This window comes from Homo sapiens, chromosome 11 (assembly GCF_000001405.40).
Source record: "Homo sapiens chromosome 11, GRCh38.p14 Primary Assembly".
NCBI classification, from domain to species: Eukaryota; Metazoa; Chordata; class Mammalia; order Primates; family Hominidae; genus Homo; species Homo sapiens.
This window is the reverse complement of record NC_000011.10, coordinates 64,290,683-64,305,220: the sequence shown is the minus strand read 5'-3', so window position 1 is coordinate 64,305,220 and position 14,538 is coordinate 64,290,683. Positions and strand designations below refer to the sequence as shown.

The 14,538-nt window shown below is 57.9% G+C and overlaps 2 protein-coding genes and 1 long non-coding RNA gene across 6 annotated transcripts, besides 1 other annotated feature; all 3 read right to left on the bottom strand.

Moving 5' to 3' along the window:
- CATSPERZ (catsper channel auxiliary subunit zeta) lies at window positions 451-4,863 on the bottom strand. Its single transcript, NM_001039496.2, has 5 exons — window positions 4,790-4,863; window positions 4,234-4,564; window positions 1,660-1,739; window positions 1,382-1,448; window positions 451-678 (listed from the first exon to the last, which is right to left on the bottom strand). Exons 1-5 carry the CDS (start codon window positions 4,808-4,810, stop codon window positions 575-577), a joined length of 603 nt encoding a protein of 200 aa, NP_001034585.1. The 5' UTR covers window positions 4,811-4,863; the 3' UTR covers window positions 451-574.
- KCNK4-CATSPERZ (KCNK4-CATSPERZ readthrough (NMD candidate)) lies at window positions 452-13,499 on the bottom strand. Its single transcript, NR_133662.1, has 11 exons — window positions 13,436-13,499; window positions 12,014-12,279; window positions 8,220-8,343; window positions 7,942-8,102; window positions 7,568-7,754; window positions 6,972-7,111; window positions 4,790-5,875; window positions 4,234-4,564; window positions 1,660-1,739; window positions 1,382-1,448; window positions 452-678 (listed from the first exon to the last, which is right to left on the bottom strand). It is a non-coding gene; the product is annotated as a KCNK4-CATSPERZ readthrough (NMD candidate) (long non-coding RNA).
- Window positions 4,969-5,963: an enhancer, noted in NCBI's record as "H3K27ac-H3K4me1 hESC enhancer chr11:64066730-64067724 (GRCh37/hg19 assembly coordinates)". NCBI's record gives its function as "activates a minimal SCP1, AML or CMV promoter by ChIP-STARR-seq in naive H9 embryonic stem cells {active_cell/tissue: H9 hESC(naive)}" and the evidence as "EXISTENCE:reporter gene assay evidence [ECO:0000049][PMID:30033119]".
- KCNK4 (potassium two pore domain channel subfamily K member 4) lies at window positions 5,190-13,919 on the bottom strand. 4 transcript variants are annotated; one of them, NR_133661.2, is made up of 7 exons: window positions 13,436-13,498; window positions 12,014-12,279; window positions 8,220-8,343; window positions 7,942-8,102; window positions 7,568-7,606; window positions 6,972-7,111; window positions 5,190-5,875 (listed from the first exon to the last, which is right to left on the bottom strand). NR_133661.2 is itself a non-coding variant. In NM_033310.3 (7 exons), exons 2-7 carry the CDS (start codon window positions 12,200-12,202, stop codon window positions 5,495-5,497), a joined length of 1,182 nt encoding a protein of 393 aa, NP_201567.1. In that variant the 5' UTR covers window positions 12,203-12,279; window positions 13,655-13,919; the 3' UTR covers window positions 5,190-5,494. The 4 variants fall into 4 exon arrangements, 2 of the variants coding, with proteins under 2 accessions (NP_201567.1, NP_001304019.1); NM_033310.3 differs by lacking the exon at window positions 13,436-13,498 and adding an exon at window positions 13,655-13,919 and having other exon boundaries at window positions 7,568-7,754; NM_001317090.2 differs by lacking the exon at window positions 13,436-13,498 and adding an exon at window positions 13,103-13,223 and having other exon boundaries at window positions 7,568-7,754.
- Between the last annotated feature and the right edge of the window lie 619 nt (window positions 13,920-14,538).

Genomic DNA, 14,538 nt, shown 5'->3' with positions numbered 1-14,538 from the left:
CGCGAGAGGAGTGGGCGAGGCGGTGCAGGCTGCAGTCGCGGAGCCAAGAGACCACTTACAGATGAAAACGCAAGGGCGGGACGAGCGGAGAGGCTGGACCTGCTACCTATGCTTGAGGGGCGGAGCCTAGCGCGCCGTCGCGAGGAGGGAGGTGCTGCCCCGTTCCCCCTACCCCCTTCCCCCAAAGCGACACCAACTGAGCACTCGAACCGTAGACCCAGTAGCCCCACAGAGCTGCGGAACTCGGGGTGGGTGAAGCCGACTTAAAACATGCAATAAGTCCTGGATTGCGAGTCCCGGAAGGTAGGGCCGATAGGGCCCGGACGGAGAAAGCTCAAGGTCACTGCGGTGACCGAATGAAGGTCACTGCGGTGACCGAATGAAGGTCACGGGGAAGGGCGGGGCCACGTGCGTCCGCCTCACGCGGGCTGTCCTGCACTGACTCACGGACCATGCATCGACTCTTTTATTTCTTTAGGACTCAAATTCCACTCGGATGGGGTCAGGCTTGGGTCTGGGGACCGGGCTGGCACGGGGCTGGTTCGGGTCGCTGCTCGAGCCCAAGGTGGCGTTTTTAATTCACGTACAGCCTCTTGCTCCGGCGCTTCTTGAGCCCTTCGATGTATCGCTGCAGCTCCTTAGTCAGGAAGTGGTCCCTGCCGATCCCTAACTGGTAGCCTAGGAGGAGGGCAGAGCTCGGCTCAGGGCAGTGAGCAACCGAAAGGTCTCCCCACCAGGGGGCGCCGCATGTGTGATTCGAGGAACCGCAGATGATTCGAGGTAGCAGTAGCGCAGGGCACTCAGGTCTGTGTTAGCCTGGGGAACTTTGCATCTCTAAGGGTGCTGAGTGTTAAGGTGGAGGATGGATGAGGTCAAGGCTAGGGAAGAGGTTGCAGGCCTGAACTAGGGCGGTGGTAGCGAGCAGTTTGCCCACCTTCTGGACCAGCCACCCACTCTAAGCCATCAGCTGGCCCTTTATCACCGCTGGGCTTTCCTACCACAGCAGCAAAAGTTCACCCACATAATCCACTGTCCAAAGGCTCCTCACAACTCCCCAACCAGAGGCAGTCGAGGCCACACCAAGGCGGTCATCCCACTGTGCAGGTGGAGAAACAGCCACAGAAAAGCCTCCCTCAGCTGGAGAGGGGCTGCACTCAGCCTGGAGCCCAGGCCTCTGCCCATCACCACATGTCCCCCACTGGGTCTTCCTGTGCCCAGTCCCTCAGCTTTTAACTTTTATGGGGCCCTTGGAATACTTGTGAGTGCCAAGGGCATCTGACAAGACATAAGGCACCCTGAAACCCCACCCCCCTGGGCCCCAGCCCTGCAAAATCCACCAGAATCTGTCGTGGGAGTTCTTGGGGGTTGGCGGGGAGCTTACTCCGGAGGGCTTTGGTGAGGATTTCCAGAGCTTCATTCTCCATGAGTTCCATCAGGGGCAGTGGCAGCTGGAGAAGCAGCAAGAGGCTTAGGCGTCCAGGTACTTCATCTCTGCCCACAGCTGAAATGCCCCCACCTCCTCCCTGTGGCCCCCAAACCCCCAACCAGCCTGCCTGCCCCTCCACCCTGCCAACCACCCCCAACTTTCATATCCTATCAACCCCCAATTTGCCTATCCCCTACCCCACCGAAACGCCCAGTCTCCCCAGCCCCTCCAACCCTGCTCTGCTGCTCTGCCCAGTAGGCTCGATGGGGCATGTGCTTCGCAATATTGAGTGATGACATTGAGGAAGACTTTTCTGGGAGAAGAGAAAAAAGGGTTAGTCATCCGCAGACTCCTGGGCCTTCCCTGGAGCACAGGAGATGGGTAGGCACCTTGTGAGAGGGAATGGCCTTCAGAGACCAGCTCCTGGTGCAGCCTTGGGGTCAGCATGGGACAGAGGTTACAACCCTGGGCTTTAGAGCCCCACCCACATGGTTCCAGTAATGACTGCCCCACAGTGTGACACTTAGGACCAGTGACTGACACTCTCTGACCCTCAAGTTCTTCATCAGTAAAATGGGGTAATAAGAACAGCTCTTGGCCGGGCACGGTGGCTCATGCCTGTAATCCTAGCACTTTGGGAGGCCAATGTGGGCGGATCACAAGGTCAGGAGTTCGAGACCAACCTGGCCAACATGGTGAAACCCCCGTCTCTACTAAAAATACAAAAATTAGCCGGGCTTGCTGGCAAGTGCCTGTAATCCCAGCTACTCGGGAGGCTGAGGCAGGAGAATCACTTGAACCAGGGAGGCGGAGCTTGCACTGAGCCGAGATCGTACATCTGCACTCCAGCCTGGGTGAAGAAGTGAGACTCTGTCTCAAAAAAAAACTAAAAAAAAAAAAAAAAAAAAGAACAGCTCTTGGCTCTTGGCCAAGTGGTGGCTCACGCCTGTAATCCAGGCACTTCGGGAGGCCAAGGTGGGCAGATCACAAGATCAGGAGTTCAAGACCAGCCTGGCCAATATGGTGAAACACCGTCTCTACTAAAAATACAAAAATTAGCCAGGCATAGTGGCAGGCACCTGTAATCCCAGCTACTCAGGAGGCTGAGGCAGGAGAATTGCTTGAACCGGGGAGGCGGAAGTTGCAGTGAGCCAAGATCGCACCATTGCACTCCAGCATGGGCAACAGAGTGAGAATCTGACTCAAAAATAAATAGCCGAGCGCGGTTGGCTCACGCCTGTAATCCCAGCACTTTGGGAGGCCGAGGTGGGCGGATCACGAGGTCAGGAGATTGAGACCATCCTGGCTAACAAGGTGAAACGCTGTCTCTACTAAAAATACAAAAAATTAGCCGGGCGTGCTGGCAGGCGCCTGTAGTCCCAGCCACTCCAGAGGCTGAGGCAGGAGAATGGTGTGAACCTGGGAGGCAGAGCTTGCAGTGAGCCGAGATGGCACCACTGCACTCCAGCCTGGGCGACAGAGTGAGACCCCGTCTCAAAAAATATAATAAAAATAAATAAATAAAAAATAAATAGCTCTTTATGGAGGTTGTGAAGTTTGAAGGTGACAATCCAGGGGAAGCCCCGTGCCTGGCACACAGCAAGTGCTCAATATGTAACCATTGTTATACTGTTATTGGTTCTTACTCTCTGATGAAGTAGTTTGAGGGGGTGCCAGACAGTGCCCAGCACGTAGTAGGGGCTTAGAAATTGTAACCAGCAACTGACTAATGGAAAGACGTACACCTCCTCAACCAGCGCAAATCATAAGACAAGGAGTTAACTCTTGCAACTGGTGGGATGATTCCATTAAAAACACAGGTCTCGCCGGGCATGGTGGCTCACACTTGTAATCCCAATACTTTGGGAAGCCGAAGCAGGAGGATCACTTGAGCCCAGGAGTTTGAGACCAGCTGGGGCAACATGTCGAAATTTTCTCTACAAAAAATAAAAAATTAGCTGAGCAGGATGGTGCCGGCCTGTCCTCCCAGCTCGGGGTGGTGGGGGTGGCTGAGGTTGGAGGATACCTTGAGCCTAGGAGTTTGAGGCTGTAGTGAGCTATGATCACAACACTGCACTCCAGCCTGGGTGACAAAGCAGGACGTCATCTCTAAAAAACAAAGGCCGGGCGCAGTGACTCAAGCCTGTAATTCCAGCACTTTGGGAGGCCGAGGCCGGCGGATCACTTGAGGTCAGGAGTTCGAGACCAGCCTGGCCAACATGGTGAAACTCCGTCTCTACTAAAAATACAAAAATTAGCCGCACGTGGTGGCGCGCGCCTGTAATCCCAGCTACTCGGGAGGCGGAGGTTGCAGCGAGCAGAGATCGTGCCATTGCACTCCAGTCTGGGCGACACAGCGAGACTCCGTCTCAAAAAAAAAAAAAAAAAAAAAAGTGGGAGGCGGGAGGATCACTTGAACTGCAGTGAGCTATAATCGCACCACTGCACTCCATCCAGCCTGGGCGACAGAGTGAGATCCTGTCTCAAAAACAAAACAAAACAAAACAAACAAAACAAAAAAACCCCGCAGGTCCTACCACGGGGTCTTTGCGCAATTTATTTGGTGCGTCCTTCCCCGGACTCTGCGCGTCACGACCGAAAGGCCTGTTACAACGCCTGCCCGGGAGGGGGCGCTCCAAGAATGCCTGGCGGATTTAAAGGGCGAAAGATTGGCGCGGGCGCCTCTCCCAGAGAATCCTAGAAACTTGGATCCCATCAGCTTCCCCCCATTTTACAGCTCCAGAAATTGAGTCCCTGGCCAGCTTATTGCCCTGCGGGTGCCCACGGCCTGGCGAGGCCACACTGACCGGCCTCGATCTGGGATGCAGTGTCCTTCTCCCCCAGATTGATTTCCATGGAGCTGCCGCGGTGCAACTCCAGCTCCACCAGCGCGTGCTCGTCCAGTTCCTCCGGCTTGTGGCTGGCCTTGTACCCCTCGTCCAACGAGCCCCGCCCCGGGCTGTGCCACCCGCGGGTCTTGCTAATGTTGCGGCCCTCCTCGTCGAAGCCCTCGCAGACCTCGGACAGCGGCATGTTCAGCTGTGCCTGGGACAGCGTGGTCGTGGTCCACAGGTCCCGAGTGTCGCTATGCACGCTCTCCTCGTCCGAGCCTTGGCGGTCGGAAGACTTGAGCGACACCTGTGGGCCACATACAAGGAGGGAGCCAAGGGTCGCGGATGGCTGGAGCGGGAAGGAAGAGCGGGCTGGGGAACTGAGCCGGGCCGGGTTGGGGATCCCGTAGAACGTGGGGTTGGGTGGGGGCTGCGGGCAGCCAAGGCTGAGTAAGAAATAGCGCCAGGGGCCCGAGTCGGACCAAGGGTGGGTTGGAGCGGACAGGGTAAGGGGCCTAGGGAGACGTCTTACTTTCGAAGGCTTTTCCTCCATGGTTCTGCCCCAACGGACCCAGACGCCACAGGCCTCGAGACGAGAAGGGAGTCAACGCTCCAGGAAGGGGGCGGGGCAGGGTCTCTCGCGCTGGGAGAGTTCAAACGACAGCCCTCCACGCGAGATGCCATTCTCTCTCCCCTGCCTCTCCCTCCCTGCACCCCACCCGCCAATGTGTGTGCAGAGGCTGGAGACGCGCAGCCCATCCTGGCTGATCCCCACGCCGGACCCTACACAGTCTCCTCCAGGCAGAGACGCGGGCCTGAGAGGGCCGAGACTTGACCGACCTGGGTGCCCGGGGACCCTCGGCCTGGGGGTCACGGGAGGCCAGAGGTGCCCCCACGGTGGCCCGAGGAAAGCAATTCCACACCCACTCGCGTCCGGGAGCGTCACGCCCGCAGCGGTGCAGACCGTTTTCATTTATTGATGCAGGCTTTGAGGCACAGTCGTGAGGTGCTGTGAGGGATACACCCGCCCGGGGCAGCGACACAGAAAGCCTTGGGGGGGTCTAGAGATGGATGGAAGTGAGGGAAGGGCCGGGGCCAGGGAGGAGGCGGAGAGGCAACTGTAGCCTCCTCCCCAGACTTCAGTCTCGTGGAAAGAGGGCTCTTTGGTCAAACAAGCCAGGCATGCCGGGGAGAGCAGAAACGAAGCCCTTGAGAGGCCCGGCCAGGGATCCTGCCCCTACACCGGCACGCCTTTGTCTCGGGGACGCCCGGGGCCGCGGGGCCGCACGGGCTTCCTGGGGGGATTTGGGCGGCGGCGACCTCTCGGCGCGCGGGGCAGCGGGCAGCCGCGCTCGCTCTGCGTATCCGAGGACTCGTCGATGAAGGCCAGGTTCTCGCTGGGATAATCCAGGGCCGAGGCCGTGGGCGGGGAAGGCGGCTGAGCCTTCTCGGGGGGCGAAGGGGATCGGGGCCTGCCCAGCGGCTGCGCTGGACAGGGCGGTGGAGGCAGCAGTGGCTGCTCCTTCTCCGGCGGCGGGGCGGCGGGCCCGGCTCGCTGGGTCACGCGCGCTGTCACCGTGCCAGTCCAGCTGGCAGCCTGAGCCGTGAGGCCGCCCATCTGCACGGAGAGGGAAAGCAGCCCTCGACTAGAGGTCTAGACCCCCTCCGCGACCCCCCGGGAACCTGCCCCTTCACCAGCAGGGATCAAACCCCAACCCTCTTTTCTGCCTGGTCCTCCAGCCTCAGCCAGCCCCAAGGATGGAAGGGCTCCTCCACTGGGTGCTCCCAGCAGGGTGGCAAAATACAAATCGCCTGGCTAAATGTGAATTTCAGAGAAACAACAAATAAAATTTTAGTATAAATATATCTCGTGCAATATTTGGGACATGCTTTTTTTTTTTTTTTTTTTTTTTCTTCTTTTTTTGAGACAAGTCTAGCTCTGTCATCCCGGCTGGGGTGCAGTGGTGTGATTTCAGCTCACTGCAACCTCTGCCTCCCCGGTTCAAGCGATTCTCCTGCCTCAGCCCTCCAAGTAGCTTGGATTACAGGCGCCCGCCACCACGTCCAGGTAATTTTTGTATTTTTAGTAGAGACGGGGTTTCACTGTGTTGGCCAGGCTGGTCTCGAACTCCTGACCTCGTGATCCACCCGCCTCAGCCTCCCAAAATGCTCGGATTACAAGCATGAGCCACTGCCCCCCGCCATAATAAAATTTTATTTATTTGGAATTCAAATTTAACTGAGTTTTGTTTTTGTTGTTGTTGTTAATGTTTGTTTGTTTGAGACCAGGGCTTACTCTGTCACCCAGGCTGGAGTGCAGTGGTGCAATCATGACCCACTGCTGCCTCGACCTCCCCTGGCTCAAGCGATCCTCCCATCTCAGCCTCCCGAGTAGCTGGGACTACAGGCACACACCACCACGCAGGGCTAATTTTTGTGCCTTTTCTAGAGGCGGGATCTCACCATGTTGCCTGTGCTGGCTTTCTGCATTTTTATTTGCTAAATCCGGCAATCCTACCCATGAAGGAAGAGGTGGTGAAGGTACCCACAAACTTATACCCCTCTGTTCCCTGCGGGGCACACACAGAGGCTCACTCAGCCCCTGCCTCAGGAGCCCACGCCCTGGATAGGAGACAGCCTGATCAACCCCCTGCTAGGGAACAGCACATTTGCACCACAGTGCGCAGGCACAGTGCCAACCCTGGGGCGCCTACCTCTGCCCGAGTGCGGCGGGACACTACTCGCAGCCAGTTCCCGATGGTGGTGAGCACTGAGGCGAAGTAAGCCAGGCCGAGCAGGATCCAGAACCACACCAGCGGCTGATAGGCCGGGGAGTCCTGCCTGGGGTCCGCGCCTGGGATACCACCAGGGAAGGTAGAAAGAATTGGATTGTGGGGCAAGCCTGTGAGCTCTGGTTCAGTGCCCCCCTCCCAGTTCCTGGAGAGGACCTGCCCTCCCTAGGGCAATGGGTATGTGCTTGAGTGTGTGAGTGCAGGCAGGAAAATGAGTGGTGTGCATGAGTTGAAAGTGTGCAAGATAAAAGCATGCAAGAAGGGGCGCTCCCGTGCAAGAATGTGACACATGCGAGGGGTGCATTTAATATATGTGTGAGCATGCATGGGACTCAAGCATATAAGAATGTGAGTGTGCATAAGGCGCTGGTGTGTGTGCAAGGCTGTGATGGTGCATTCCATGATGGATGCAGGGGTTAGAGCAACCACATGGGATCTGGAGGGAAAGGCAGGAGTGCAGAGCCCCTGATCAGGAATAAAGTAGATGGGAAAGTGCAGCACAAGAAGGGCGGCCTCACCGGCCACATAGTCGCCAAAGCCCACGGTGGTAAGCGTCACTATGACAAAGTAGATGGCCTCCAGCTTGCTCCAGTCCTCCATATAGCAGAACACGAACGTGGGCGTGAGGACAAAGAGCAGGCAGCCGATCAGCAGGAAAAGCATCGCCGACAGCACTCTTACTAGCTCCGGTGGCACGTGCCACTTCTGCGGGATGGGGCAGTAGGCAGGACCCAGGAGACACCAACAATCCCCACTCCCATACTCCCCACTCCCGCCCCCAGGAGCCTGTGGGAGAGGCTTATGGTCTTTGGGGGCGCGCTCATGTGCCAGGGACATGGGGAAGGGTAGCCGGAGCCCAGCACAAGGGCAGGCAGGGCATGGAGCAGCTCACCAAGAAGATGGCTTCAATGTGACCGATGCCATGGCGCAGGGAGGAGCCCAGCCGGTCCCCGACCCCTGCCAGTAGGATCCCAAACAGCGGAATCCCCACCAGCGCATAAAAGATGCAGAAGAGGCGCCCGGCATCTGTGCGCAGGGCCACATTGCCATAGCCTGGGCAGAGGGGCGATGCAGGAAGTCTAGGGGCCACCTGGGACCCCTCCGTCTCCCTGCACCTTCCCCCATGAGGAAGCTCCTTGCCGCCCCCCACATGCCAATCCCCTCCCCCACCGATGGTGGTGATGATGGTCCCTGAGAAAAAGAAGGCGCTGCCCAGGTCCCAGGCTGAGTGGCTGCTGTTGCTGGTCGAGTTGGTTTCTGGGTCCGCACCCCCTCCCAGGGCATCAGCCACCTCCTGCAGGACAAGGTGCAGAAGGAGGAGCTTCAGTTCTTCCCTCCTGTCTAGGGCAACTCGTGGCCCCTCCAGTCTCTAGGGTGGCTCCTTCCCTGCTCCTCCCTGTTCTCCCCTTCCCTTTGGTCTCCCAGGAGGCAGTCCCTTACAGCAGAAGATACAAACTGGGTCCAGTCTACCTGCAGGTGAGTTTGTTTGACTTCTACAATGTTTGAGAAACATTTTCAGTATCTGGCCCCTAACTTCAGACAACAAATTTCCACTTTTACCATGGTCAGGAGCACAGACCCTGGGACCAGACTGCCTGGGTTCAAATGTTGGTGCTATGGGACTTGAGCAAGTGAACTCTCTGGCCTCAGCTTCTGCATGTCTCAAGTGGGAAGGATAGTGACAGCATCTGCCTCCCAGATTTTTTGTGAACGTGCAACAAAGTAAGCACTGACTGTTGAGTAAGTTCCCAAGCAGTGACCACACCCTGTGTTTCCAGCTTTCCAACCCCACCACTCCCATTGCACCTATGGAAGCTGAATTTGAGTCCCTTTCCTTAGAAAATCTCAAGAAAGCTAGGGACTTTCTCTCCAGGAAGGTTTATATGCCACAAAATTTTGCTCCCAATTTTTAGGAGGTTTATATGCACACACAAAAACACACACATCCCACCCCTGAGGAAGCCCAAGCCAAACCCTGTGCTGCAGTGTAAATCATATTGATTGAGCACCTCTCAATAAGTATTATTATTATTTTAAGGCTAGTCAAGTGAAGCAGTGGGAGTGGAGAAGGGACCAAGAAATCTGTAACTGGTTGTGATCAATTAGTTGTAAACACTACTGTATTCGGACCAGCCAATACATATTATTAAATGAATGTAATGTCCCTATTTGGGTGTCTCCCCCTCTCGCCAGCATGCAGGTCCCATGGGCAGGGACTATTTTGAGAGTGCTTGCCCTAGGTGAGAGGAAGTCAGAGAGACTCTTCCCCAAGCAGCAGTGTCAAGGTACCAGAATGGTGTCTGTGGGGCGTATCATAAAGCACCTCTTCGCCCCCTGACTGAAGTCCTCATTAGCAAGACTTAGTCCAAACTAATCTTCCTAAAGTGGCTGCTCAACACCCTCCATGGCTCCCCACTCCTTGCAGGCCTAAACACCCCAGACCAGCATTCCTTTTTTCAAACTGGTCCCCACCCCCCTTCCCCTAGTCTTCTCCCTGGGACTCCAATTTGGCACCCCATGTTACAGCAACCTTCCCCCCAGATTTTCTGAGATGATTCCATTTCCTGTAATAACTGTTAATAAAAGCAAGAAGCGAAATAGCTAATTAAAAGTGATTTAATGTGTATTTTGCAACACTTTTCCAATAAATTCACGACTTAAGGGAAAAATCCTTTGTCATCCTGTGTGTTCTAATTTTTGCTTCAAATGACTAGGCATCTGCTAACTCCAGGTTCTGCAAAATGCTCCGGAACTTTCCAGCTTCCACGCCTTTGCCCATGCTGTCTCTCCACATGGGCATCTCTTGCCCCTCGTCTCTACTCTCTACCCCTCTCGCCTGGTGTATTTCAATCACCAGGTCATCCCTCAGGCCCCTGACATCTCCATCCTTGTCCCCAGCCCCTAGCTCAAGGTCTAGCACAATTGGTGCTTAACAGAAAGAGGGAAACTTCCTTTCCACTGAATCCTACAGTGATCTGTCTGACCATGGATCTCTCCCCTTGCCTAGATGTGACACCCTCCAAGGCAGACCCTGTGTCTGATCCACTCCAATATCCCCTTGGCATATAACACTACAGCACCTAGCACACAGTAGGTGCACAGTTGCTGCACAACTAATTCAGGGAGTGAATCCTACTGTGGAAGAGAAATAAAGCGGCTGTCACCCACCCTTCTAGGTCCTGCCTCTCCTTTTCTTCCTTTTTCTTATCCAGGAAAAAAGCAATTCCATTGTGAAGACAAACTAGGTCAGATTCCCTCCCTCCCTCCCTCCCTCTCTCTGCCCTGTGGTCTGGCCAGATACATTCTTCCCACGCCTCTCTGAGCCTCCACTGGCATTCTGTAAGTGTCAGAGATGCTGTCGGGTGGTCTGTGTCCCAACCCCACCCCACACTCATCTCTGCCCTGAGTCCTGCTGCCTTGAGAATCTGCTGGAACACTGAGGCCTCCGTGCCAATGGCCCCTCTCTCCACAAAGAACAGGCAGGGAACAAAGGGTACTCTTCAATTTCAAATAATAGACATTAATTTATTAAAGCTAAATCTTAATTTTTTTGTATGACAGTGACTCCGAAATCAGAAAAAGTAACAGACGTGCCTGCCTGACTGTATCCCAGAAGGCTGCAGCCCAACACTTTCTTTTTTTTTTTTTTTTTTTTTGAGACCGATCATCCAGGCTGGGCTGGAGTGAGTGCAGTGGTGTGATCTTGGCTCACTGCAATCTCTGCCTCCTGGGTTCAAGCGATTCTCCTGCCTCAGCCTCCCGAGTAGCTGGGACCACAGGCATGCACCACCACACCCGGCTAATTTTTGTATTTTTAGTAGAGATGGGGTTTTGCCACATTGGCCAGGCTGGTCTTGAACTCCTGACCTCAGGTGATCCACCCACCTCAGCCTTCCAAAGTGCTAGGATTACAGGCATAAGCCACCGTGCCCGGCCAACACTTTCTTGAGTCTATGGTTGGAGTCTGACCAGAAGTGCCTCAGGGAACCCTGACGCACCCCCCCTTCTCCCCACATGGTAAGCATGCATGCTGGGGGAAGGGGCACCTGACCTGGCATTCCTGGTGGCATGGATCCTGGAACCCTCCCAAATCACCTGCACATGTTCATATGCACACTTTTCCAGGGGGAGGGGGTGTGTTCACCATGTTCTTGGGCTTTTCTAAGGCACATGACTCCAAGAAAAGTATGGGAACCGGTGTAGGTAGGGTTGCCAGATTTAGCAAACAAAAATATTGCTTGGGATGGACTTGTATTAAAAAGGCATTTGTGGGCCAGGTGTGGTGGCTCATGTCTGCAATCCCAGCACTTTGGGAGGCCGAGGCGGGTGGATCACTTGAGGTCAGGAGTTTGAGACCAGCCTGGCCAACATGGTGAAACCCCATCTCTACTAAAAACACAAAATTTAGCCGGGTGTGGTGATGAATCCCTGTAATACCAGCTGCTTGGGAGGCTGAGGCAGGAGAATCACTTGAGTCTGGGAGGCGGAGGTTGCTGTGAGCTGAGATCACACCACTGCACTCCAGCCTGGGTGACACAGGGAGACTCCGTCTCAAAAAAAAAGGCATTTGCAGTTTAACTGTAATTCATGTTTAAATGAGAGTCTTGGATTTTGTGTGGCAATCTAGACCGGTGAGTGAGACCTGTGCAAATGTAACATAGCCCATGCGCTATGGCCATTCATTCATTCATTCATTTCCCCCTCATCCCACCACCATCACACCCTGAAGGAGACATTATAGGTGCACAGTCCTGTGCCAGGCTCTCCAGGAAAACAAATGACCCCACAGTTGCCCTATTGAAAACACAGAGACCTGGTCCCCAGCCTCTGTCCCACAGCCTCCCACTGCACCCGTCCTCAGGGATACTGATCTGAAAGCAGCACTGGCACAGGGCCTCACTGGCACACAGCTAGCGCCAGGGGTGATGGGTGACAGCTGAAGGGGCTGCGGCCCACCCACGCACCTTGATGAGGAGGCCCAGCTCCTGGTCGCTCACACACGGATGGGCCCTCAGGAACTTCTCTCGGACCTCCCCCAGCTCCCTCTGGGCCTGCTGCTCGTGGGGCTGCTCCAGGGCCCGGAACACCAGGGCACCAGACACCAAGTAAAGCAAGACCAGCGCCAGCAGGGCCAGGAGCGTGGTGCTGCGCATGGCGCGCCCAGGCGCCGGGCCAGCTCCACTGCCCGCCTGGAGGGGCCGGGCGGGGGGCTCCTGGGGAGCTGTCGTCACTGCGGGCAAAACCAGGGATGCTGGGGTCACTGAGCTGGCCTGACACCCACACCCTCCTCCTCTATCCCCTACACACCCAAAGATCCATAAAGCCCCCAGCTGCACTGTCCACAGACATCCCTCTGGCTGGACACACCCAGTCCCCCTCCTATCTCCAGCCTTCCCCTTACCTCCGCTGCCCGGCCCTCAGCCCCTGTCTGGGACTACCGGGTGAGGAAAGAGAGGAGGGCACCGAGAAGGGAAAGGAAGGCGAGTGGGAGGCCGAAAGAGAGCCTAAGCCTGCCTAGGGGGAAGCGGGGCGAGCGAGGAAATGTGTGGAGCTTGGTGGGGGTGCGGGGAGCTGGCCCTCGAGGAGGAGGCTGAGGGGGCTCGGAGGCGTCCGAAGGGAAACCCGGAGGAGAGGCCGGACAGCGCAAGGCGGGGACAGGGGAATGGTGGGTCCCTGCTCGCCCGCTGCGGCTGTGACAGCATCTCCGCGGCTTCTCCGTCCCCTCTCGCCTCGCCCTGCTTCCTGGCTGGCCCTCCAGGGTGCCCCCGCGCCCCGCCGGGCTTTCGAGGAACCCAGGGGCGGGTCCCGGCCGCCGCACCCAGGCGAGGAGGGGTGCTGGGGACGCCCAGTTCCCGGAAAAAGCGGGGCGGGGGTCCGCAAAGGCCACACCGGGGCGACAGCCCCCGAGACAGCTGTCAGTCCGAGACAGCGGGCGGCGGCGCCCACGCGCACACACGCCCCGGCACGCGCCGCCAAGCGCGGGCACAAAGACCCGCGCGCCCACGCTCCATCCCGAGGCTGCAGCGCCGCGCCGCCCCGCTGCACGCACGCACCCCACCTGCACTCTCCGCAGACGCCCCGGCATCCCCGGCCCCCATGGGCGTGCCGGCCGCGCCAGGGCACCCAGAGCCCACGCACACGTGTGTGGACACTAGCGTGCACACGCCAGACAGCAGGGCCACCGCGCAGCGCCCGCAGCTCGCTCCCACCGCCTCCCCCGCGTCCGCACAGCGACGCCTCGGAGCGTGGCGGGCGGCGGGACCGGCGGCCACACCACTCCCGGAGGCGCCCACGCGCGAGAGGTGGGCACCCCGCCCGGCCAGTCGCCCCTGGGGCGTCCCTGCCCCTGAGTCCTGCCCGCGCACCGGAGCCCGCACCGCACTTACTGTCGGCCCCGCTGCGGCTGCGGCTGAGGCCCGGGTTCCAGCACGGCCTCGCCGGTGCCGACTGGGCCGCGGAGGCGGCAGGGGCGGAGCGGGCGGCCGCCGGGGCTGGGACCCCCCTCCCGCCGGCAGAAGCCCCCCTCCTCCCGCGGTTAACCCCTCCGGCGCCGCGCTTCCCTCCGTGCAGCGCCCTCGCCGCCGGCGCCGCCCCAAGCCGTTTACCTGCGGCCGCCTGGCTCCCCACAGCCGGCCAGCCCCGGGAGGTGGGTGGCAGAGGAGCCGGAGAGGGGTTGCAGCAGGGGCCAGCCTTCTAGCCTTGGACCGGAGCCCAGTGTGGCCAGCGGCAGGGCCCCGACCTGGGCATCAGCTGGCCCGTCTCTCCGGACAGGCACCACGCTAATCTGGCATCTCCCAGGCCCATTACCGGATCGGGAAGGGTCCGCAACTCTCCGCCCCTGGGGACAGCCTGGCCCTTGGGCTCAGCACTCATGAGGGAGGGGCTCCGCGGGACAAAGGGGTGGGGGAAACCCGGTGGGGCCACCTGGAATTGGCCGACGTGGAGGTTGGGACCCACCTCTGGGGGAGTTGCTGCTGGAGCACCTCCTGCCCCCACTCCAGGTTTTGGCCCTCTACCTGCTCCCCGGCTATCCCTCCAGGGTGCTCCCTGCCCCAGCTTTTGGTTCTCACTTCCATGCCCAGAAATCAGCCCCGGAAGGCTGTGGCTGAAGCTGCCTGCAGATCCCAGCATGGCACTGGTGCCAGCATCCACTCTCCCACTGCCTGAACACCCAGGCCCTGGCTGGTCCTGAACTTGCCCCGCCCTGTTCTCACCCACTTGACAACCTGTGACCTCTCCAAAGACCCTCTGGTGCCTGCTGGGGTCCTCAGCCCTCATGCTGGATGGCTTTCAGCCTGGGCTTTGAGGCTGACCACCCGCTACTGGTAGGGAACCTGAACAGGTTACCAAACTCTGGAGTCTCCCTGTTCCCACTTACAGAAAAGGGATGATTAATCATCACTTCGGGGTGCTGTTCTGGGCATTAAGGAGGCCAGTGTTTAGAAATCCTCAAAACAGAGCCTGGCACACACAATAAAGTGCCCCACAA

What these genes read in the sequence shown, in the direction of transcription:
- CATSPERZ (NM_001039496.2), bottom strand. Translation starts at nt 4,810, where the DNA reads ATGGAGGAAAAGCCTTCGAAA. An exon ending in TGCATCCCAGATCGAGGCCG is followed by an intron (nt 1,740 to 4,233) that starts GTCAGTGTGGCC and finishes CTCTTCTCCCAG; the next exon opens with AAAAGTCTTCCTCAATGTCA. An exon ending in GGGCAGAGCAGCAGAGCAGG is followed by an intron (nt 1,449 to 1,659) that starts GTTGGAGGGGCT and finishes CTGCTTCTCCAG; the next exon opens with CTGCCACTGCCCCTGATGGA.
- KCNK4 (NM_033310.3), bottom strand. Translation starts at nt 12,202, where the DNA reads ATGCGCAGCACCACGCTCCTGGCCCTGCTGGCGCTGGTCTTGCTTTAC. An exon ending in AGCTGGGCCTCCTCATCAAG is followed by an intron (nt 8,344 to 12,013) that starts GTGCGTGGGTGG and finishes CTTGTCCTGCAG; the next exon opens with GAGGTGGCTGATGCCCTGGG. An exon ending in CCCGCCGCACTCGGGCAGAG is followed by an intron (nt 5,876 to 6,971) that starts GTAGGCGCCCCA and finishes CTCTCCGTGCAG; the next exon opens with ATGGGCGGCCTCACGGCTCA.